The 25555-nt window shown below is 39.1% G+C and overlaps 1 long non-coding RNA gene across 1 annotated transcript in view; it reads left to right on the top strand.

Annotated features, from left to right (window-relative positions):
• The window catches only part of LOC124905177 (uncharacterized), a 148876-nt gene extending 137856 nt beyond the window's left edge, over positions 1–11020 (top strand). The window contains exon 2 of the long non-coding RNA XR_007068213.1: positions 10627–11020. This is a non-coding gene — a long non-coding RNA (uncharacterized LOC124905177). The remainder of the gene's footprint in view (positions 1–10626) is intronic.
• Positions 11021–25555: the final 14535 nt, after the last annotated feature.

Below are 25555 nucleotides of genomic sequence, written 5' to 3' on the forward strand. Positions count from 1 at the left end.
CTTCTCTGCCTGGTTCAGGTCTATTTTAATCTGAAAGGCAGCATTGGGGAGGTAGAGTAGAGGAGAGCAGAACTTCTCCTCTCTGCCTGTTCACCTCTTCCTCTATTTGTTAGCTGTCATTTTATTGCGCCACTAATGAAGCTTGGAGAGGGAGGAGAGGCCAGGAAGCAGATAGCTCTGACTCGGCAGTGACGTTGCTCTTATGGGGCCTCATTTTCAGATGATTAAAGCTGGGGCCCTGGTTGTGGGCATGGAAGATGGATGAAGCCACCTTTTCCCTCCTGAGGTGCACTACTGGCCCTTTCAGAGGTTCCCATGGCCGTAGACCTCTCTCCTATGGTTCTCTTGACCTCTGCCTGATATGTCTCCATAAGAGGTAGTGGCTTGGGACTACTCTTCAGCTAGATATCTGGCAGAACACCTCCAGTCTCTTTATGATGAGATCCCCTTCCACTACTGGTCAGGACTGAAGTCTGCTTCACATCAGCGCTCTCTCTGCTATAGTCACTTCTGACCTATGAACCATATTCTCACATCTCTTGTCCCAACATACTCTGGGAATCCAGGGTCACCCCAAAGCATCAGCCTCCATTGACTTGGCTGCCAAAGCATGTAATGGCCCTTCCCTCTCACCTAGATGGCCCCAGGCAAGAGGCAAACTCTAACCCACAGTGTGCTTTAGCTTTTGTGGGTGTACGTGAGGTCCCCTGTGGTTACTGACCATAGCGAATATATTGCAAAGCACCTTGAAGGTCCCTCACTGGACTTGGGGTTAAAGAGTAACACCCCAACTTCTGTTTTAAAAGGAAGAGAAGAGGGCATTCACTGCAGAGCTATGACTCAGTTCCAATCTCCTCACATACAAGCCTCTCTTCCCACACTGGCCATTTCTTGTATTTTCTAAATGGGAGATGGGTTTCAAGAGTTCTCAAGAATAGCCATTTAAGAAAGCAGGTTGATATTACCTCCTAAAGTCGAGCATTCACACATCTAGGTCTATCCCTAAGAGTAACCTTGGCATATTCAGTAAGAGACACGTACAGGAATGTTCATAGCAGCTCAGTTCCCAACCTAGGGTTGTCAGATAAAACGCAGGATCCCAGTTAAAATTGAATTTCAGACAAACAACAAATAGGATTGTTTTTTCTGTCTGGTCTAAGTATGTCCCAAAGATTGCATAAGCTATAGTTCAAAAATTTCATGTTTTAAGTTCAAATTTAATTCAGTGTTCTTTATTTTTATTTGCTAAATCTGGCAACCCTATCCTAAAACAAATGCCTGTCTAAGGGTGAATGGAAGAAAAATTGTGGTATTTACACACACTGGACATACGCAGGAGTCTAAATAAATGAAAAACAGTTACACGGAAAAATATGAATGAATTTCAGCAATATGAAATCTGAAAAAATAAGGCTCCAAAATATTACATACGGTATGGTTTTTTGTTGAAATTGGAAACTACTAAAATAAAATATTTCTATATTTTTAAAGGAATCTATCTAGTTGCAATAAAACTACATAAAAAGGAAAGGGAATGATGAATATATATATGATTCAAGACGATGATACATTTTCTCAAATGGGGAGAAAAGGGTATAAATTGATGGTGTGATGAAGTGTAGGCTATTAGCAAGGTTCCAAGGTGCTAGCTTTTTTTTTGGGTAGTGGCTTTCCTAGTACTTACGGGGTGTGCATAGACCAAAGATGAGAATATTTCATTAGCCAATGCTTATAACTAATCAAATAATCTGCACCTGATATCCAAAAAGAAAATAAAAATTTAAAGAGAAGGAAAAAGAAGAAACAACTGAGGTTGGAAGAATTCTATTATAGAAGCATACAGTGTTTGTCTAGGCAGGAAGGAAAGTGGTATTGGCACGGAAGATGTCTCCAAGGAGGTAACAGCTGAATTGGCCCTTGAAGTATGAATAGAAATTCACTAGATGGAGAAGGAGGGCAAAACATTCCAGGAACAGCATGTCAGAAAGCAAAGCAGCACAACAGAGCCTGGCCTTCTCAGAGAACAGGCTCAGGATGGTCACAACCAGAAGTAGGTGACAGTGGCAAGAACAGAAGCCAGAGAGCTGGGGAGAAGGATAGGGTGTGGAAGACCTTATGAGCCCTGTCAAGGGGTGTGGAACTTACTCTTGGGCCTCAGGGTGGGAAAACAGCAAAAGGATTATGCAGGAGGTTGTTATTGTGGATCCCCAGAAGATTATTATACCAAAATGGGAAGTCTCTTGGCTTCACATATGCAAACTATTGATAAAACTGTTGCATTTGGTGGAGGGTAGAGAAGGCAATGAGGCAGGCGCTAAAAAATCATAGCCTCATGGGCTTCATGGATGCTAAGTAAAAATAGGCAAGGGATGGATTATAATTATGGTTCAAAATCATAGATACAGTATGATTGACAGCTCTGAGAATAAAGATGGTTATCAATTTGGTGGGAAAGTGGGGATAGCAGGAAAGGTTGGATAATTCTCCAAAGGGCAGTTCCAAGAAAAATTAAAAACCATTAATAAAGAAATATTAGTAGATTCCCTTGATGGCACCTCTGGATTTCTTGTGTATTGTCTGCATCAGCCACTCCTCTTCTGCCAAACCCTTAGAATTTGTTCTCTCAATTCGTTCTGTTCCATTTAGCAAAGTGTACTGTGCAACTATTATTGAATGTCAGGTAGAATGTTGGATGCTGGAAATACTAAGATAGATAAAATACAGCTCATCTCCTCATTAGGATTACATCTGAGCAGGAATACAAACCATCAACAAGTATCAATAATATATGTGAAAAGTACTAGAATAGATACAAGTTACTACACAAATATAAAAGGGAGAGCAATTGGTGCCACCTGCAGTGGGAGTGTCAGAAACGAGATGGCATTTGAGTTGGATGGGCAAAAGTTCAAGGTTGAGCAAAAGTTGGACAAGCGGATGGGAGAGGCATGCAAAGCAGAGAGAACTGTAAGAGCAAAGGCCTGAAGGTGAGGCTGCCAAGAGGAGGCTGCAGCCGGGTTGGGACAGGCTTTCTAGATCTTGCTGAGAAGTTCAAACTTTGTTGTACATGCTGTGGCTCTTAAGCAGGGTGGGGTCAGGAGCAGATCTGGGTCTTTGGAACAAGCTCGCTGGCCATGTGTGGAGGATGGAATGAAGGAGTTTGGGGCTGAGGTCACAGAGAACAGCCAGGAGGCAGCTGCAGGACTTGCCATGAGTCACAATGAGCCTATAGAAGGACTGTGTAGGTGGAGAGCCAGTGAGGTCGGGACCAGAAAAGGCCTTGCTTGTGGGGTAGTTTGCTGCCCTCCCTGCCATCCACATGGGTGGGCTGTGTGAGAGGGACAACGGCCTGCAAGGAGGCCAGGAGTGGGAGTGGATTTGGGAAGGACCTCAGTGACAGGAAGGGTGTTTCCACTGTGCAGCTGCCAAAAGAAACCTGTGACTCAGTGGGTGGCATGTGTGATACCCAGAAACTTTATAGTCCGAGTTATCCTGGCTCCTATCTACTTCCGTAAGTCAACACTGCTTCACAGGTGGGATAGCAGCCAATGGGTGGGGTCCATAATGCCTTTTCTCAAATTTAAATAGTGTCTACACCAGCCGCGAGCCTATTACAGGGGAGTGCCTTTGTAGGAGGCACATGCCATGGGAAGATTGATAAGGAGCAGGAAAAACATCTTTTTCTAAGGCCTGCAATTCTCACACCCAATTAGAGTGGTCTTGCTTGTGTAAGAATTGAGTTGTATCAGTCATGAATAATATCAAGGCAACTCCTGCTTAGAGAGGACCCACTATGTGCTATAAGCTAGGTGATACACTCTTCCTCACTATCTGATTTATTCTCCACAGTAATCACACAAGGTAGTCATTTCTTGCTCCATTTTACAGGTGGAGAAGTAAGGCTCAGAGAGTCCTAATGGGTTGGTCATCAGATGGAGTCTAGAAATATTCTCCCTATTCCAACTGGTGATGGCATTGCTTGGCATCTCACCAGTATATCGTTTTCTTTGTTAATGACCAGGGCACTGATAGCAATCATGCTAGATGCAAAACCTTCCCTTCCTCCCACACTGCAAAGTCCTTCTCTACAGCACAATCATTCCAAGAATGAGGTTTAGTTGCAAGGTCTTTTTAAAACCCAGTCACCATGGGAATTGCATTCCTGAAAGACTAGGGCTGTGATGGTTTTCAACAACGCCTGGTGTTCTGTTTGCTTCGGCTCATGCTTAACAGTCCAGCAGTTAGAAGATGGAAAATAATTATTCAGTCTAGCCGGGAGATGGGGTGATAAAAGGAAACTTTGGGCTGCTGATTAAATTGTTTATTTAAGCACAAGCTTGGCTATGTCTTCAGCATAATGTGCTGTAGGAAGAAGATAGGGATCTCTCCTTATGGAGAGACACTGACAGGGGGGACTGAAATCCCCACCTCTGCTCACTCCCACGGCTGCCTCTCTGCAATGCCCTGAATCTTTGTTTCCTGCTTGGCTCTGGATTTTGAGGACTTTATGAGGCTGGGATTGGGCAGAGTAACAGAATAGTAGAGCTTTTTGTCCAAGCTCTGCATTTTGCAAAAGAGAAAGCTGAGGTCAGAGAGAGGTTGTGATGGTGCTGGGCAGGGCAGAGAATGTCCTGGAGTCTGGGTTCCTTGATTTCTGGTCCCGTGTTCTCTGCATTATTGCATGCTCACCCAAGTGTGTGTGCATCACCTTTACAAAACATCTTTTGCCTTTTACCCTTCTTGGTCCTATTCTGCATTCTTCTCCTTCTGGCTTTTGAAACAAAATCAGCTTTCTTTAATCTCTTTTTTTGTGCACTGTTTCTCTTTATTTTCTTCCTCCTTCCCTGCATTAGAGCATGTACAAATTGTACATAATGCATAATTTAAACCCTCAGTTTGCCTATATTTTGAGCATATGCAAACTCAACTTTCAGGAAGTACTAGACCAGTAGTCAGCAAACTATGGCCCACAGGCCAAATCTAGCCTGTGACTGTTTTGGTAAATAAAGTTTTATTGGAACCTGGTCACCCTCATTTATGTATTGACTATGGCTGCTTTCATGCAACAGTGGCAGAGTTGAGTAGTTGCAACAGAGACTGTAGGGCCTGCAAAACCTGATATATTTAGTATCTGGCCCTTTACAGAAACAGTTTGCCAAGTCCCTGCACTAGAAAAATATATTACTGACTAAATTCTAATATAGGGCATTCCTGCCTCCAGAGAGCCAGGGCCTAACTTTTATGCCTGCAGAATAACAAAAACACAAGCTGTGTTTAAGTTGAACCATTGAGAGCATGAGGATTCAGCAAGAATATTGCAATTCACTAAGCTAGGATTTTGTTTATAAACTTTAATTTTTGATACTTTGAATGCTAAGGAAACTCAAATTTAGTTCCCTCTCCCACTTTTAAGCTTTTGATGACTCATCCTCTGAGCTCCATATCCCAGACCCTCACAGCCAGGCTGGCCCTTCCTGCTGGCCCTGCTCTGCCCCTTGAGGACTCCTGGCTTGGAACTGAACCACCTTGCTCCAGTTGAACCATACCTTTGCTCTAGTCATACATCTTGCAGGACTAAAGTTCAAAGGGTGGAATTTCCAGATCACAATCTCCTTTAGTGTTGCCTCAACTCATCTCACAATAAATGAAAGTTCTTTCCAAGAAGTGCTATCAATTAAGACATTCCTTCTGGCATTTTCTTTCCTTCCTTTCTTTGCATTTTGCTTATGCTGATGTGGGTTCCTTTAGCTTGATTTAGATTTTGTCGATGCTCTCCTAAGCTCATGGAATTTTGGAGGAGATCATCAAGTCTAGCCCCTTTTCCACCACGAGGAAGCTGAGGCCCATGGCAAGGTAGTCTTTAAAAGACACTTTGTTTTCACGCTTCATTTCTTTGGTTGTAAATGAGAGTTTTTATTTTCTTTTTAAGCAATTTAATTTTTTTCCAGTTCCTTTTCTGAATTTACATCTGTCTTTATTGTATATGGTCTTTACTTCTCTTTCCCCTCCAGGTGCCTAAAAGTAGAGTCTGCAAAGGGTATATTTTGCAGAAAGCTCTCCACAGATCATAGTGCTCACATTTATTTGCTCAGAAAAATTCTCCTTAGGTTTTATTAGAGTTTTCTGGAATCACATAGAAAGTGAATTCCTAGTGAAATGTTTGGGTTCAGATTGTTAATTGAATTGTGGGCAGCCTAAAGGTCTTTCTGCAACCTCCTGGAATTTCTCAGCCTGAATGTTAAAGATGGAGCATGGATCTTTGCCACCTGCAGCTACCACTTAACCAGGTGACTGGTGCCAGTCCAGCAGCATGCTGGATCTGAGGTTTGCCACCTGGGAAGATAGATGATAATGCTTCTCTCCTCCTGGCCTGGATAAGGGGGAAAAATGGCACAAGGTGCATGTGCTCAGAACATGGAGTTCCTCTTAGGATTAGGGCTAAGATGCTAGAGTCATTCTAGCCAGTGGAGACTCCCAAAGCTGCAATAGTATTGGGGCTGTCTTGGTACCTCAGCACACAATGCAGGTAGACCTGGTACAGCATGCTTTCCTAGCTGGCTGTCAGATGAGTGAGAAAATAAGCTGCTCCCTGTATGATGGATACCCCAAACAGTTTTCTTTAGGCCAACCCCTAGATGTCACAGGCAAGGAAACTGAGGTTTGATGTCAAAGTCACTGTGGTGGCTTTGTACTGTAGTAGCTAAGCTGGAACTGTGTTTCCCAGAATTCCTTTCTTTTTTATCTCCGGTTGGAGTTGGCCAGAAGAGAAATTTGTGTGCAATTTGTGGGTGGAAGTGAAGCAGCAGTCATGCCTATGCTCTGACTGTCAGGAGAAGGGCTAGTGGGCACTGTTGCAGCTCACAGGTGTCATCACTGATCTGAAGGCTTACCTTGCTGATGTGGGTGACAGCCAGGCCTGCAACCCCTTCAGTCCCATCCAGGCCTCCTACCTTGGCTTTCTGGGGTCCCAAGGCTGGGCGTGTGTGCAACTATATTGGTAAAGGGCACCGGCCTAGCCTGCAGGTCACCTGCATCAGTAAAGTTGAAGATGGTGAGAAACTGATGGGGTTTTCATCTGTCCAGGGTGGGTTCTAGTTTGTCCATGTTCTCCCCCACTTCATGTGCATCTCTCCTTCCTGACAGCCAACTCTACTGTGTTCAGGATCAAAGCTAGATGCAGAGCAGCAGACCTACATAGACTGCTTAATCAGATTCTACACCTGTGGAAGGTTCAGTCCCTATCATAAGGCCCTCATTCTAGAGCCTCATGGTGGTTTCTGCTTCTCTGACTGAACCTTAACTGATACAATCACACAGCCTTGCAGTGGAACCCAGGTGCCCCAGGCTTCCAGGACAACAGGCTTCCTGCTTCCAGTGTCACCTCTGCTTAGAGGCTCTGTCTGCACGGCACATTGCTGGTGTTGATAAATGCTGGAAAGCAAATGAGGAGGTTCTGGCCAAAGAAATCTTCTGGGTGCTCAGCCACAAACTTGTCATCAAAATGCCTGGGTCACCCCCTCAAGCCCCGTCTCACATTGCGCAGGGTAGACACTGCTTGCATTACTCTTTGTGTCAGGGCATTTGGGTACGTAAGTATGACAGAGATCGAATCAATCCTAGATGCTTGAGCCAGAGATTCTGAGCAAAATCAGATGAGTCCAAGATGCAGTTCATTTTCTCCATTGGTTACTCCACTTTCTTGTGGGAAAAGGTGGTGGGGGAGGGTCAGGCAAACTTTCATTCAATCACTCTGTGTATGGTGAGATTGGAGAAGAAAGAGGGTGTTGTCTCTGCAGTAAGCCTGAGGGAGTTGGTGAGGGACACCTTAAGTCACCCTCTCTCTTTCTGCGTGTCTCCATCTCCAAGATGCACTATGAGGAGCCCTGCTCAGAAGATGGTGGCAGGGGATTGTGTGGGAGACCCCATGGTCTTAGGTACCCAGCACTTCAAAGCAGGGAGAATTCAGCATCTCTCAGTCCTCTCACAGCATTCCAAGATTGCTGCTTGAGGTCTGAAGACTGATTTGTCTTTACAGCCACCCTCATTGAAATGCAGGTGAGCTAAGGACTCAGAGGGGTGGGGCATTACTCCTAGTTGGTTATTAATTAAACGAGACTGTATCTGAGACTAGGTGTTAGTTAATGGAGAACTAAGGAGTCCTATGAACCCTGCGAGGTGGCTACTGAGATCCCCGCCTGGCAGAGCAGGCTGATGGAGCAGTGAGGGCACCAGCTATAATGTTCTGTGATTCTCTACCACACTTAGGACCTGCAGAGACACACAGCCTCTCCACTTCAGCTCCACTGGCTCCCATGGTACACTTTGGCTCTACCAGGCATGCTCTTGCCTTAAGACATTTGTGCTCACTGTCCTCTCTACCTGGGTCCCTCTTACCCTAGAGAGCCTTCTGGCAGGCTTCATTCTCTCATTTCTTCACATCTTTGCTCTAAAGTAACTTCACCTTCAGGAACTTTTGCCTGACCACCCTACTACAAATTGCAACCCTCCCCACTCTCCATGCTAATGTAGTTTTACTATAGTGGGCATTGCCGTCTACCTTCCTACATAACTTACTAATGAGAGGGTAAGTGTCACTGGGGCAGAGATTTGCTTTATATGTACTCTGGTGTATCCAAGTGGTGGCACCTAGCGGGCACTCATTGTGGCCTTTGCCTTTCTTCACTCCACAGGACACCATTGGCACTGCATTCCCTGTTGAATGACGCCCCCTGGAACACAGCTTTATAGACTTCAATGTGAATAGTGCCCCCTAGAATTGTTCAAGTTGGCAGTACAGAGCCTAATATTTGTTGAAAAGAGGCCACAGGCGATCTACTCTCTCTGCTCATCTTCCTGATCCAGTGGCCTCTGAAATCCTTCTGGCGGCTTCTAATTGTAAACCTTCTCATACTTGAAACCTTCCCTGTGTCAGGATGAGGAAGCTCGTATGAAGAGTGGGCTGATTCCATTTGTTTGCAGTTTATGATCAAATTTGGACATCTTATTTCGAAGCGATATAAGAAAGGCACTTGATAAGCTGTCTGCAGCAGTTTCTCCTAAGGGGTCTGCCAAAAACGGTGTGGGATTTCAGGGTCTGGTTTTCTTTGCCTTCTCCAGGTAAGCTTGTTTATAAAGAGGAAACATTTGTGCCGCTCAGCAGATTTGAGAGACCCGGTGGGAATTGCTGTTTATTTGTCTTTTGATCACAAAGCCTGGGGTTTGGCTCCAAGGCTGAAGGTCTCGAGGCCTCTTTATCTCCTCCCCTTGAGACTTTAATCTCTCCTCTGACATTCCTTTGGCCCGTGAGGTGGCTGGGGAGTTGAAGGAGGGGGAGTACTGCAGGTGGACAAAGATTCCCTGGCCTCATCAGAGTATCTGTCCTTAGTCTGACCTCCCACCAGGGACTGTGGTTCTTTCTGAGATCGGCTCCGGAGCCTAACCTCCCCCTCCCCTTTGTCCTACAAACAACCAAAAGGAAGAAACAACAAAGCCACCCACCCTCCCCCAAACCCCAGGCAACATTTATTTTGGGGAGCGAATCTTTTGTATTTGAAGCCACATCTTATCACTTGCCTTTTATGGAATCCAAGAGGCGAAGTGAGGTGAAGGGTCGTGGCATTCAATTCGCTCATTTTATAGATGATGATACAGCAGTCCTCAGGGCTTCTGGGGCCTGCCCAAATGGAGAGGGGCAGCCTCTCCATAAAGGTGGCTGGGCCAGTCCCCTGGTTGTGTGCCCCCCCCAGGTGGTTTTCAGGGCGCCCCACAGCCCTATGCAATGTGAGCTGCCCATGACTGGCCTTAAACCCCTGTGAGCAGAGACAATTTTCTTTGAATCAGCATGCACACCACACAGCGTTCCCCATGGGGGACATATTGAGAAAATGAAATTCAAATCACCCCTCTGGTATGGTTTTCACTCCCTTTCCTGATAACACACAGAGAGAAGCCAATTTTGTGGGTGAGCAGGTGGGTTTTTATAGGGCCAGGCAGTAAAACCTATGAAGGCCACCCAGGTCCTTCTCCTGTCCCTAGGTGCTTCTGACAGGAGCCACAGAGAGCAGCCTAGGGCTGGGGACACAGATGAGCCTCCAGCCAGGACTTTGCTCCCTGACTCGGGGCTCACTTCCTCAAGTAGCTGAACATTTTAGGGTATATGGCTACACCCATGTCCCACTCTCTTACTTGGCACTAGGCTGAATGAACACCTGGTATTCAGTGACCTCGAGACACTGTGAACCCACTTCGAACTTACTTCCTCAAGTCATTCAGCTACACAGTAGATTGCATGCAGTCTGTCTTTAAAAAATAAATAAAAAGTCCTTAGTTTGGTGAAGTCATTTTACTCGCGCAGAAAAAAATGTAAAGGTAACCATGAAATTACAAGAACAAACCTTTGTGCTCCCTGGGGCTCTTGGAAAAAGAGGGCAGGCAGGGCTTGTGTGCACAAGGCAGGAGCTGTTTGTGCAGAAATGGAAATGCTCCCCCATCTTTCCTTCCACGCTAAGTCGCTTCATTATATTTTCAGGCGAGCAAGTCATGGGTTCCTGGTGCGCGGTGCTGTCTTTTTCAATTAATGCTTTTCACAGAAGTTCAGGTTTTAAACATCTCCCCCTCTCTTCCCAGGTCTGTTACATTTCCCAGAATGGTTCCCAGTGCTGGAGATAATTCCTTTTCGGAGAACCTACATTTCTCACCTGCTGATTGCAATTAGCCACTACCAGCTGGGGCCTGGTGTGCAGCTGAAAAGCTAACAAGAAGTGGAGACCACGCGGAACTCAGACAGGGCATAGGATGTGCATAAATAAGCAACGGTGCCTGTGTTTATGAGATGCTCCTGTGAATTCGAGGCTTCCCCACCCTCTGCATAACTCTCCCTCTTCTGGCTTTGTGCTGCACACCCCTCCCCTAACTATATTTTTTGTCTCTGGTTTTGTAGCCTACGTTTAACATCACAGTCACGAATTTACCACTAAGTACATTTTGTTAGGCAATAAACAGCCTTGGAAGAAAAATGAAATCCGACTAGGACTTCTGTTCTAATAATGTCTGTGAGCTGTGGTGGATTCAGGCAGGCCCCACATGCAGGTCTTAGAGCTAACCTTGACCATGAGGGCTAGTGGGGCTGGGAGAGGGCTCAGGGACCCCAATTCAACTCCCTTATTTTATGGGGGAGGATACTGAATCCCAGAACGGGAGCATGGCCTGTCCAAAGTCTTAAAGGAAGTCACAGGACTGGATGAAGCCCATGTCTCCCAAACCCCAGCTTAGGTCTTTAAACACTGAACTGCTTTGCTTTCAAACATCATGGGCAGCAGATTGATAGTTTGTGAGGAAAGCACCAAGGAGACTTCTGAGTGCTGGAAGGCAGTTTCTGTTGGACAATGTGGTCTCCAACCCAAGGCAATCTTTCTTTCCTTCCTCATGGGCCAGGCATGCCCCCTGTGCCAACGTTGTAACCTTTTCATTCAGAGTTGATACCCATGTTTCCGTAGCTCACAGCTGCTGAACCCAAATCCCTACTTGCCCCCTAAGGTGAGTGCTCTCGACCTTTAGAGTTGTCTTGGGTTTTTGCTGCAGGGAACAGCAGAGAACAGACACACAAACAGGGGGAAGTTAGCAGCTGTCCCTGCCTGGTAGCTCTGTGGTGTAAACGGAGGGAGGCCAGCCTCATGAGGTCTGTGGCTTCTGGTGCAATCATATTTGCTGGCTGGGGATGAGCTGGATTTTTTCTAGCCCTCTCCACTCAGAGGGTCAGCCATTCCATACCCAACTCAACTTCCATCAGGAGAGGCCATCTTGTAGGATTTAGGGTCAGGGAGTTAGACTGGCTTCCAGGTAGCAAGCAATAAAGTGTACCGGGACTTTGGACTCCAGTTCTGGCTTTGTTCTGCGGTAAGCATGCCTCTCAGCCTCTGTTTCCTTGTATGTAACATGGAGACTCCAAATGCATAGTTCAATGGGCTTTTCTGAGAGGGTAAGGGAAGGAGTCAAAAACAGGTTTGCTGTAAGTGTTCACTTTACTTCCCTCTAGTACTAATTTCTGTTTTACTGATAAGGAAAACTGAGGCCAATGGAAGTAGAAATACTCTCCCAAGGCCACAGCCTCTTCTATTGCCTCCAGCCACCTGTTTTTATCCGTCAGGCACTCGGGGGAAAAAAAAACTGCAATGAGCTTCACTAACACAAAATCCTTTCTCCAAAAATAAGTGGTTCTACATGCTGGTAAATATTTAACAATTAGCTGGGGGGTTGGAGGAGGAAAGGTGGGAGAAAGCTCTGCTTTGTAGGCTTGTTGATTTTTATTTTAAGAGAACTGTAGATTCACATGCTGTTGTACGAACTGTTATAGAGAGATCGCCTGTACCCTTCATGCAGTTACCTCCAATGGTAACGTCTTCAAAACTATAATACAATGTCACAACCAGAATATTGGCATGATATAATCCACGAATCTTTATATTTTCCCAATTTTACTTGTACTCATTTGTGTGTATATGTGTGTGTATTTAGTTCTATACAGTTTTATCACATGTGTAGGTTCCTATGACCACTACCTGTATTCACAGTCAAGATACAAAATAATTCCATCACCACAAGAACCTCTCTGTTATAATCTCTACCTCGCCGCTGCTCTAACTCACCTTGTCAATGACCCCTGACAACCTCTAACCTGTCCTCCATTTATTTAAAAGATTTCCTCAATTCAAAATGTTATATAAATGGAGTCACACATATGGAATCTTTGGCAGTTGTTTTTTCACTCAGCATAATTCTGTCAAATTTCATTCAATGTGTTGTGTGTATCAATAGTTAATTCCCTTTTATTGTTAAGTAATATTCTATGATATGAATGTGCCACAGGTTGTCTAACCATTCACCTGTTGAAGGATACCAAGGTTGTTTACAGATTTTGGCTCTTGTGTATAAAGATACTATGAATATTCATGTATAGGTTTTTATGTGCACAAAAGTTTCCATTTATTTAGAAACTTGGCATTCTATCCAATAAGTGATTGCTGGATCTCAGGGTAGTTACATGTTTAGTTTTATCTTTAAAATGCTAAATTGTTTTCCAGAGTGACTGTACCATTTTATATTCTCTCCAGTGATGTACAAATGATCCAGATTCCCCACATCTTCACCAGCATTTGATGTTGTCAGTATTCTTTATTTTAGCCATTCTGATAGATGTGTAGTGATATCTCATTATGGCTTTAGTTTGCGTTTCTCTAATAGCTAATGAAACTGAACATCTTTTCACATGCTTGTCGCCTGTTTATCCTCTTTGATGAAATGTCTTTCCTTTTTTTATACTTTGCAAATTATCTAATTGGACTGTTCATTTTTGACTATTGAGTTCTGAGAGTTCTTTATATATTCTAAATACTAGTCCTTTGTGTGAAATATGTGGTCTGCAAATATTTCCTTTCACTCTGTAGCTTGTCTTTTCATCCTCTTATGGCGTACTTCACAGAGCAAAAGTTGCTCATATTGATGAGGTCCAATTTACTAATTTTTAAAATTTTATTGAGTGTGCTTTTTCTGTTATTTTTAAGAATTCATTGCCTCTCTCTAGTTCTCGGAGATTTTTCTCTTTTCTTTTTCTAAATGTTTCATAGTTTTTTGTTTCACATTTAACTCCATGATTCATTTTGAGTTAATTTTTCCGTAAGCTGTGAGGTTTAGGTCAAGGTTATTATTTTTTTTTGTGGTTGTTACTCATGTGTGTCCAATTGCTCTGGCATTATTCATTGAAAGGCTGATATTTCTCCATTGGATTACTTTTACATCTTAGTAAAAATTTAGTTGGGCATATTCATGTGGGGCTATTTCTGGGTTCTCTATTCTGTTCCATTAATTTATATGTCTATTTTTCCACCAAGTCCACACTCCTGATTATTGTGGCCAAATAATAAGCTTTAATATAATTGCTTTTCATTTCTCACCATAGAAAATATAACAAAACAATTCTCATAAGGGAGGCAATTAAAGAGAAAGCAATTAAAAACTGTAGGGAGAATGTATTATAGAAGTGTGTCAGGAAGTTAATTAATATAAATATTGGATTTAAAAAAATTTTGTGATGATTATGGTATTTTCAACCTTTTAAAATTTATTATTTATTGCAATTCCTTCTCGTGCTAAATAAATTTTCATTTTCATACTTAAAAATAATAATAAGCCTTAACACTGCAGAGAGTGATTCCTTATACTTTATTCTTTCACTTCAAAATTGTCTTACCTATTTTAGGGCTTGTGACTTACCATATAAATTTTAGAATAAGTTTGTCTATCTCTACAGAAAATCTTGATGGGATGTTGATTGGAATTGCATTAAACCTATTTACCAATTTGGGGAGAATTGATATCTTTACTATGTTGAGTCTTCTAATCCACTTACTGGAATGTCTCTCCATTTATTAGATCTTCTTTGATTTTTTTATTAGCATTTTGTAATTTTCAGTGTACAGATCCTATAAGTGTTTTAAGTGTATATCTAAGTACTTCTTACACTGTACAGCTCTTGTAAATGTTTTGTTAAGAGCATACCTAAGGTTATAAGTATTTGCAATCACATTGGAGTTATTGTAAATGGTATTGTGTTTTAAATTTGTTTCCACAGCTCATTATCAGTATATAAAATATGTTGATCTTACATCCTGCAACCTTGCTGAACTTACTTCTTAGTTCCAGGAATGTGTTTTTTTGTTTGTTTTTAGACTCCTTGAAATTTTCCACATAGACAAACATCTTATCTGCAAATGGAGACAATTTCATTTCCTCCTAATTTTTGTGATTTTTATTTCTATTTCTTGACTATTGCACTAGCTAGAACTTCATGTACTCTGGTGAATAGGAGTGGTGAGAGTGAACATCTTTACTTTGTTCCCGATCTTAAGGGGAGAGCAAACAGTTTTCACCAGTGAGTATGATGTTAGCTGTGGGTTTTTTGTAGAAGTTCTTTATCAATGTAGTTCCCTTCTATTTGTAAGTTACTGAGAGTTTTTAACATGAAGAGTTCTGGATTTTCAAATGTTTTTTTCTATTTCTATTGATATGATTTTTCTCTTTTGCCTTGTTGATACGATGGATAACCAGCCTTGCATACTTAGAATAAATCCCGCTTGATCATGACATGTAATTATTTGTACACATCATTAAATTGGATTTGGTAATATTTTGTTGAAATTTTTTGTTTCAAAGTTTATGAATTTATATTGGTATGTAGTTTGCTGTTTTGTGCAGTCTTTTTCTGCTTTTGGTATCAGTGTAATACTGGCCTCATGAAATGAGTTCTAAAATGTTCTCTGCACTTTTATTTTCTGGAAGAAATTGGGTAAAATTGATGTTAATTCTTTAAATGTTTGGGAAAAAAATCCCTGTGAATTCATCTTTCCTTTCCCATGCCGAGCCTCTGCTAACTACTATTCTACTCTCTATTGCTATGAGATACACTTTTTAGATTCCACATATGAGTGAAATCATGCAGCATTTGTCTCTCTGTGCCTGGCTTATTTCACTTAACAGTATGTTCTCCAGGTTCATCCATACTGCTACAAATAACAGGATTTCATTATTTTTTACAGTTGAATTGTATCTCATTGTGTATATATATATATAACATTTTCTTTATTCATTCACTTCTTGGACACTTAGATTGATTCCATCTCTTGGCTATTGTGAATGGTGTTGTAATGAACATGATTGCAAATATCTCTTTGATAAACTGATTTATTTTCCTATGGATAAATACCCGGTAGGATTCCTCAATCAAGTGATAATTCTAGTTTTAGTTTTTTCAGGAATCTCCATATTGTTTTCCATAATGGCTATGCTAATTTACATTCCCACCAACAGTGTATACGAGTTTCCCTTTCTCCACATTCTTGACAGAATTTATTTTTTGCCTTCTTAATAATGGCCATTCTAATTGAAGTGAGGTGATATCTCATCGTGGTTTTGATTTGCCTTTCCCTGATGATTAGTGATGCTAAGCATTTTGTCATATACCTGCTGGCCATTTGTGTGTCTTTTTTTGAGAAATGTCTATTCAGATCTTTTGCCCATTTTTAAATCAGATTATTTGTTTTGTTTCCTATGGCATTGAGTTTCTTGTATATTCTGGTTATTAACCACTTGTCAAATGCATAGTATGTAAATATTTTCTCCCATTCTGTAGGTTGTCCCTTCACTTATTATTTCCTTTGTTGTTCAGAAGCCTTTTAGTTTGATGTAACGCCATTTGTCAATTTCTGCTTTTGTTGCCTGTGCTTTTGAGCTTCTATCCAAAAGCCCTTGCCCAAGCCAATGTCAGAAAGCATTTTCCGTATGTTTTCTTGTAGTAATTTTAAGTTTTCAGTATTAAATTTAAGTTTTTAATTCATTTTGGTTTTTTTTTTGTATAAAGTCAAAGATAAAGATCTAGTTTTATTCTTCTGCATATGGATATCCAGTTTTCCCAGCAGCATTTATTGAAGATACTTTTTCCCCCAAAATGTGCATTCTTGGCACTTTTTTGTTAAAAATCAGTTGACTGTAAATGCGTGCATTTATTTCTGGGCTCTCTATTCTGTTCCATTGGTCTATGTGTCTGTTTTTATGCCAATAACAATGCTAGGTTACTACAGCTTTGTAGTATATTTTAAAGTCAAATATTGTGATGCCTTCAGCTTTGTTCCATTTTCTCAAAATTGCTTTGGCTGTATGGGGTCTTTTGTAGTTCCATGCAAAATTTAGGATCGTTTTTTCTATTTATGTAAAGAATATTATTGTTTCTTTTTTACGAAGATTGCATTGAATCAATAGATCTCTTTGGGCAGTGTGGACATTTTAATGATATTAATTCTTTTAATTCATGAGCATATTTCTATTTGTGTCCTCTTAACTTTCTTTCATCACTGTTTTATAATTTTTAGTGTAGAGATCTTTCATCTTCTTGGTTAAGTTTATTTGTAGGTATCTTTTTTGTAGCTATCGTAAATGGAATTGCTTTCTTTGTTTCTTTTTCAGATGGTTTGCTACTTGCATATACAAATGCTACTGGTTTTTGTATGTTGATATTGTGTCCTACAACTTTATTGAATTCATTTATTAGCTCTAATAGTGTTTTTGTGACGTCTTTGGGATTTTCTGTATATATAATTATGTCATCTGCAAACAGGAACAATTTGACTTCCTCCTTTCCAATTTTGATGCCCTTTATTTCTTTCTATTGCTCAATTGTTCTGTCTAGGGCATCCAGCACTATGTTAAATAAAAGTGGTGAAAGTGGACATTCTTGTCTTATTCCAGGTCTTAAAGGAACAATTTTGAACTTTTCCCCATTCATTATATTAGTTGTGAGTTTGTCATATATGGCCTTTATTGTATTGAGGTATGCTCCTTCTATAACTAATTTGTTGAGTGTTTTTATCATAATGAAATGTTGAATTTTATTGAACACTTTTTTGCATCTATGAAAATGATCATATAGTTTTCATTCTTGATTCTATTAATGTAACGTATTATGTTTATTGATTTGTGTATGCTGAACCATCCTTGCATCCCTGGGATAAATCACACTTGATCATGGTAAATGATATTTTTGGTGTGTTGTTGAATTTGGTTTGCTAGTATTTTGTTGAGGACTTTTGCATCTATGTTCATTAGGGATATTGGCCTGTAGTTTTATTGTTGTTGCTGTTGTTTCCTTGTCTGGTTTTGATACCAGGGTAATGCTGGCTTTGTAAAATTAGTTTGGAAGTATGCCCTCCTCTTCCTTTTCTGATAAGAGTTTGAGAAGAATTGGTATTTGTTCTTCTTAAAATGTTTGGTAGAAATCAGCAGGGAAGCCATCAGGTCCTGGGTTTTTCTTTGATGTGAGAGCCTTCATTATTGCTTCACTCCCGTTACTCATTATTGGTCTGTTCAGGTTTTCTACTTCATAATGATTCAGTTTTGGTAGTTTGTATGTGTCCAGGAATTCATTTCTTTTAGATTTTTTAATTTGTTGATGTATAGTTGTTCATAATAGTCTCTTAAGATCCTTTGTGTTTCTGTGGTATTAGCTATAATATCTCCTTTTTTGTCTCTTATTTTATTTGTTTGAGTCTTCTTAGTCTAGATAAAAGTTTGTTAATTTTGTTAATCTTTTCAAAAAGCCCAACTTTTTGTTTCCTTGATCTTTTGTATTGTTGTTTTAATCTATTTCATTTATTTCTGCTTTGATCTTTGTAATTTTTTTAATTCTACTAATTCTGAGTTTAGTTTGTTCTTGTTTTACTGGTTCCTTGATATGTCACGTTGGGTTGTTTATTTGTAATCTTTCTACTTTTTTGATGTAGGCATTTATTACTATAAAATTCTTTCTTAGCACTGCTTTTGCTGTATCCCACAGGTTTTGGTATGTTGTGTTTCCATTTTCATTTGTCTCGAGGAATTTTTAAATGTCCTTTTTAATTTCTTCATTGACTCATTCATTATTCAGGAGCATGTTGTTTAACTTTCATGAATTCATACAGTTTCCAGTATTCCTTTTGTTATTGATTTCTAGTTTTATTCCATCGTGGTCATAGAAAATACTTGATTTGATTTTGATTTTTAAAAATTTGTTAAGACTTCTTTTGTTACGTAACATATGGTCTATCTTGAAGAATGTTCCATGCACTGTTAAGAAGAATGTATATTCTGCAGCTGTTAGATGGGATGTTCTGTAAATATCTGTTAGGTCCATTTGGTCTAGAGTGCAGTTTAACTTTGATTTTTCTTTGTTGATTTTCCTTTCTGGGTGATCTGTCTATTGCTGAAAGTGGGATATTGAAGTCCCCTACTATTATTTTATTGCAGTCAATCTCTCTTTTCAAGTCTATTAATACTTTCTTTATATATTCAGGTGATCCAGTGTTAGGTGCATATATATTTACATTTGTTGTATCCTCTGCTGTATGGACCCCTTTATCATTACATAATGGTCTTCTTTGTCTTTTTTTGTTTTTAAATCATTCTTGATTTAAAGTCTATTTGATCTAAGTATAGCCACTTCTGCCGTTTTTTGGTTTACATTTTCGTGGACTATCTTTTTACATTCTTTCACTTTCACCCAATGCATGTTTATAGATGAAGTGAGGTTCTTATAGACAGCATATAGCATATAATTGGATTTTGTTTTTTTTTAATCCAGCTGGCCTCTCTCTCTCTCTCTCTCTCTCTCTCTATATATATATATATATATACACACACATATTAGATATACATTATATATATTATATGTATGTATATATATACACACACATATATTATATATATAATATATATATTATATGTATGTGAGTGAGTATATATATAGGAACAGGGTCTCACCCTGTAAGCCAGGCTGGAGAACAGCAGCACAGTCATAGGTCACTGCAGCCTCAAACACTGGGCTCAAGCTATCCTCCTGTCTCAGCTTCCAAAGTAGCTGGGACTATAGGTATGCACCACCACATCTGGCTATTTTTTTTTTCCTTTTTGTAGAGACAAGGTCTCACTATGTTGCCCAGGCTGGTCTTGAACTCCCAATCTCAAGGAATCCTCCTGCCTCAGCTTCCCAAAGTGCTAGGATTACAGATATGTGCCACTGGGCATAACCTATGAGTTTTAATTGGATAATGTAATCAAGTTACATTCATAATTATTATTGATAGGTAAGGATTTACTACAGTCATTTTATTACTTGTTTTCTGATTGTTTTGTAGATCTCTTATTCCTGTTTTCTTCTCATTGTATTCCTTTGTGGTTGAGTAATTTTTTCCATAGTATTATATTTTGTTTCCATGTTATTTATGGTGAGTGTATCTATTACAGGTTTTTGCTTTGTGGTTACCTTGAGGCTTACAAAAAACATCTAACAGTTATAACAGGTTATTTTAATTTGATAGCAACTTAACTTTGATTGCAAAGAAAAGTAACAAAAACATACTTTGCACTTTAACATCATTCCTCCTTCCACATTTTGACTTCTTGATATTTCAATTTACATCCTTTTGTGTTGCCTATCTCTTGACCAATTGTTATTATTATCTCTTATACTTTTGTCTTTTAGTCTTAATATTTAAGATATATGCAGTTTATATACCATAATTACAGTTTTAGAATATTCTGAATTTGTCTGTATTCTGACTTTTACCAGTGAGTTGTATATCTTCAGATGTTTTCTTGCTACACATTAGCATATTTCTTTCAGATCGAAGAACTCCCATTAGCATTTCCTGTAAGACAAGTCTGGTGTTGATGAATTCCCTAAGTTTTTGTTTGTCTGGAAAAGTGCAACTCTCCTTTGTGTTTAAAGGATAGCTTTGCTCGTTAGTTTTCTTATTTTCTTTCCCCCTTTGGGATTTTTAATGGATCATCCCACTCTCATTTGGCCTATGAGGTATCTGTTGGGAAATTTGCTGAAAGCCATGTTGGGGCTTCATTGAATGTGATGTGTTTTATTTCTCTTCTGCTTTCAGTATTCTTTCTTTGTCTTTGACTTTTGATAAATTGATTATTATGTGCCTTGAGGAATTTCTTTCTGGATTGAATTTGATTGGTGACCTCTGAACTTGTACCTGAATGCTGTCATCTTTTTCCAAATTTAGGAATTTTTCAGCCATTATTTCATTACAAATGCTTCTTAGGCCTTTCTCTCTTGTTTCATCTGGGAATTTCTGTTATGTAGAGGGTAGTTTGCTCGATAGTGTCTCATAATTCTCTTAGGCCTTCCTCACTGTTTTTAATTTTTTTTTCTTTTTGCTCCTCTGATTGAGTAATTTCATGTGTTCTGTCTTAAAACTCACTGACTTTTCTCTGATCAAGTCTGCTGCTGAAGCTTTCTAATGAGTTTTTCAGTTCAGTTACTGTATTCTTTATTTCTAGTATATCTAAATCATTTTTAAAAATGATTTCTATATTTTGTCAAATTTCTTATTTTATTCCTGAATTGTTTTCCGAACTCATTTCAGCCCTGTCAGTTTTTGCTTTATGCATCTTAAAACTCTGCTGTTTGGTGCATGTACATTTAGATTCACTATGTCTTCTTATGGGATTGATCCTCTTGTAATTATATGATGCTACTCTTTTTCCCTAGTATCATTCCTTGCTCTGAAGTCTACATTCTCTAATATTAATATAGCTAGTTCCATTTTTAAAAAAGTTCATATAAGCATGACATACCTTTTTCATTTATTTACTTTTGACATACCTATATCATTGTGTTTGAAGTGAGTTAATTTTAGTAAACACATATTGAGTCATGACATTTTATCCACTGTGATAATCTTTTAATTGGTATATTTACACCATTTACATTTAAAGTAACTATTAATCCATTAGCCTTAAGTCTGCCCTTTTATTATGTGTTTCTTTTGGTTTCTTGTTTCTTTTTTCTGTTTTCTTGCCTTCCTGTGGGTTACTTGAACTTTTAAAAAAATTCCATCTTATTTCATTTATACTAATTTTTAGTATAGCACTTGTATAATTCTCTTAGTGGTTGCTCTGGGTGCTACAATATACATACGTAACTTATTACAGCCTACTGATATCAGTGTTTGATTGCTTTTAGTGAAAAATTGAAGTCTTCTATTTAGGTCCCTTTACCATCCTTACTTGGAAAATATAATCATTTTGTGTCTGGAATTGGTGGGTTCTCGGTCTCACTGACTTCAAGAATGAAGCCACGGACACTCGTGGTGAGTGTTACAGTTCCTAAAGATGGTGTGTCCGGAGTTTGTTCCTTCAGATGTTCAGATGTGTCCGGAGTTTCTTCCTTCTGGTGGGTTCATGGTCTCGCTGACTTCAGGAGTGAAGCTGCAGACCTTCGTGGTGAGTGTTGCAGCTCTTAAAGGTGGTGCGTCTGGAGTTGTTCATTCCTTCCGGTGGGTTCGTGTTCTCAATGGCCTCAGGAGTGAAGCTGCAGACCTTCGCGGTGAGTGTTACAGTTCATAAAAGTGGCATGTCCAGAGTTGTTTGTTCCTCCTGTCCAGAGTTGTTCACCCTCCTGGTGGGTTTGTGGTCTCGCTGGCTTCAGGAGTGAAGCTGCAGACCTCTGCGGTGAGTGTTACAGCTCATAAAGGTGGTGCGGACCCAAAGAGTGAGCAGCAGCAACTAAAAGATAGTTTCAACAAATACAGAATTCATGGTTGACAGCTGTTTTGTTTTGTTTTGTTTTGTTTTGTTTTTTTGGCACTTGGAAAATGTTGTTCCACTTCCTTTTGGCTTCCATGGTTTTTTGTGAGAAATTTGTTGTCATTTGAATTCCTGTTTCCTCTAGGCAATGCATTGTTTCTCTCTGGTTGCTTTTAAGATTTTTTTCCTTTGTTTTTAGTTTTCAGATGTTTACTATTATTTTTCTTGGTATGAATGAATTTCTTTGAGTTTATTTATCTGGGTTTTATTCAGTTTCTCAAATCTATATGCTTAGATCTTGTGCCAAACTTGATAATTTTTCAGCAATTATTTCTTCAAATACCTTTTCAGTCCCATGTTCTTCGTTTCCTCCTTCTGGGATTCTGATGACATAAATTTAGATCTTTTTTTGGTGTTCTAAAAATCCCTGAGGCTCTGTTCTTTTTTTCCATCTATTTCTTTGTTGTTCAGATTGAGTAAATTTTCTTGCTCATTTATCAGGTTCACTGACTCTTCCTTTTGTCATCTCTACTATAAGCCCATCTAATGAATTTTTTATTTTGATTATTGTATTTTTAAGCTCTATAATTTCCATTTGGTATCTTTGAAATAACTTTTATTCCTTTGCTATGTTTTTTAAATTTTTAATTTGTTTAAAATAATTCATAATTATTTGTTGAAGCAATTTTATGGTGGATGCTGAAAAATCTTTGTCAGATATTTTGAAATCTAATTCATCTTGCCATTGGTACCAGTTGATTACCTTTCTTGTTCAAATTGTGATCTTCCTGGTTCTTAGTAAGGTGAGTAATTTTTTTATTGTATCTTGGACATTTTGGATCTTATTTAGGAGACTATTTAAATTTTCTCTTATAGCAGGCATTTGCACTGTTTAGGCTTAGCTTATGGGTTCTCTCCTACTTTTGTGACTTGTAGTTTCAATGATAACTTAGTTTTCTGAAACTTTGTGATAATATTCTGGTCTACTTCATTCATCTAATTCTACTTGAGCTTTCATTAGACACCTGCTGGTGCCACCTGCAGAAGTGGAAGGTGCTTCTCTGGGTCTCTTAGTATTATTATATGGCGAGTAGGGCATTCCAAACCTACAAGTAGGAGCGCATTTCACCTAGCCTGTTCACTGGTCACTTGGCACCATTTCGCTTCCCACTCTTACTTATTCAGGTGCCTCTGAAGGAGTGAAGAGCCTACCTGGCTGCCTTCTGCCACTGAGTAAAGGATCAGGAAGCACAGGGTCTGGGCAGTTCTCTGCCATTAAGTGGAGGGTTTGGAGACACTCACCTTGGGTCATTTTCTGCTACCAAATCAATGGCTGGAAACCATAGAAACTGCTGGCCCCACTGATGATACTGCTGGCTGGTGTAGGGTGTGGGTGGATTGTCCAACTCAGGACCCACTATTGCTCCTGCTATGAATACATTGGGTTTGCTGCTATTGTTGGGTGTGGGGCAGGAGATGGATTGAGCTCTAATGCTACAACCGTTGTGAATAGATTGGCCTGCCACTGCCATTGGGTATGGGTCTCTGTGCTAAGTCATTGCTAGATTTCTCTCTTCCTTGTAAAAGAAAAAAGAAAAAGAAAACCCAGGGAACTCACAGCAGTGTTGTTCTTCAAGTCCTGAGGTCTCTAGCCAGTCCATTTTTTTCTATCCAGCATTTAGAATGAATCCTTTTTATCATTTTCTGTTGATTTATTTCTAGGATATTTCATTATATTTAGAGGGTAAGAGCAGGAAAATTTGAGTCTATGTCATCTTGTCCCAGAACTGGAAGCCTGGAATGAGCTTTTTTTAAAAGCCAAAATTACTGCTCAGAATAGTAGTCTTTTCTGGGTGATGGATATACAAATGTTCATATTACATTATTTTTATACATTCCTGTGAGTCTGAAATAGCAAAAAATGGCTGAATGTAAGGTTATGCCAGATATAAGATAATCTCCTGTTGCCATTACACTGTCTTTCCTATTTTGGTTTACTTTATCTATTTTGATTAACAAAATACTTGTTTGGTCAAGACACAGTAGCCAGGAATTATTTCAATCAATACTAGTTTTGGAGGATCATCTGACAGAATAGATTTAAAATTAATCAAATAAATTTAATGCATATTTCTCATTATACATAGGGGCATGACCTCACAGTTGCAACAGTTAGATGTTGATGTAAGCAAGTCATTTAAGAATTGCTTTAAAAAGTAATGCAGTAAGTGGATACCTTTGGAAATAGTAAACATAAACCCACAGGACAATTTTATTTTAAATTTTTCCTAATATTTTAAAATTTTCCTAATAAAATAAAATTTTATTAAAATAATTTAATTTAAAATATTCCTAAGAACTTGAAGCTTCAGATATTTCCAGTGACAGCATCATACACAGAATAAAGGATACTGTATCTCACCTTTGAGGAAAATGAAGATAATATGAACAGAACTGTGTTACATGGCTCAAACATATCCCTATAATTACTAAGAAGGTTATTGATGTCAAAGATGCATGATTAGTTTAAATACAATTGTTTAATAAGGGAAAAGGATATTTCCAAATTAATAATTTGTTTTATATAAAATACAGTTTTAAATATGTATATATAATTTTATTAGAAAATTAAATATTCTAAGTAGATCTTTCACTCTTCTATTTCTTTAGAAGTTTATGAATTCAAAATGACCAAAAACTGTTCTTAAAGATTTTTTTTCATTTGGATAATTGGAGGTTATGTTATATTTGATATGGACTTATGTATAGTGATTTTGGTACTTCAGATGCCCAGAAAGTGACAGTTGTGAACCCATCACCCAGATTTATAAAATATTAGGTTCTTGTCACATTTACCATATAATTCATAAAAGAAATAGAGCGCACAGTGAAAGTCCTTTGTGTACCTCACTTCCATCGCATTCCCTCATTCCTTCCCCTAGATATGGGTTATGTATCATTTCCATGCACGTCTAATGAGATTACCACATAGATATATACCTGAAAACAATACATGGAATTAATTGCTCTGTGAGGTTTTAAAATTACGTAAATGGTACCATGCTATACATATAATTTTGCATTACTGATATATTTGGACTAATTTTTATCAGATTATTTCATGTTTTCTGCTTTTGTTATCCTTCCAACCCTCTGATGGATTGGAAAAAATTCCCTTTTGTTTCCTCCCACTGCTAGTTTAGAAGATATATGCTGCATTTCTATTTTTTTTTTACTAATTATCCTTACATTTTCAACATGAAAATTTAATTATAAATGTTTTATCAAAGTCTAAAAGTATTTAATATCTTTATTCTTCTCCCCCAAACCTTTAGCTACCACCTGATAACCTTCTCATGTTACTTGTTGTCTAGAATTTTAGTTCCATCCTTTTTTAACCACACAGTTTATAGCTCTTACTTTTTAAATG

The sequence above is a fragment of the Homo sapiens genome, chromosome X (assembly GCF_000001405.40).
Source record: "Homo sapiens chromosome X, GRCh38.p14 Primary Assembly".
Classification (NCBI taxonomy): domain Eukaryota; kingdom Metazoa; phylum Chordata; class Mammalia; order Primates; family Hominidae; genus Homo; species Homo sapiens.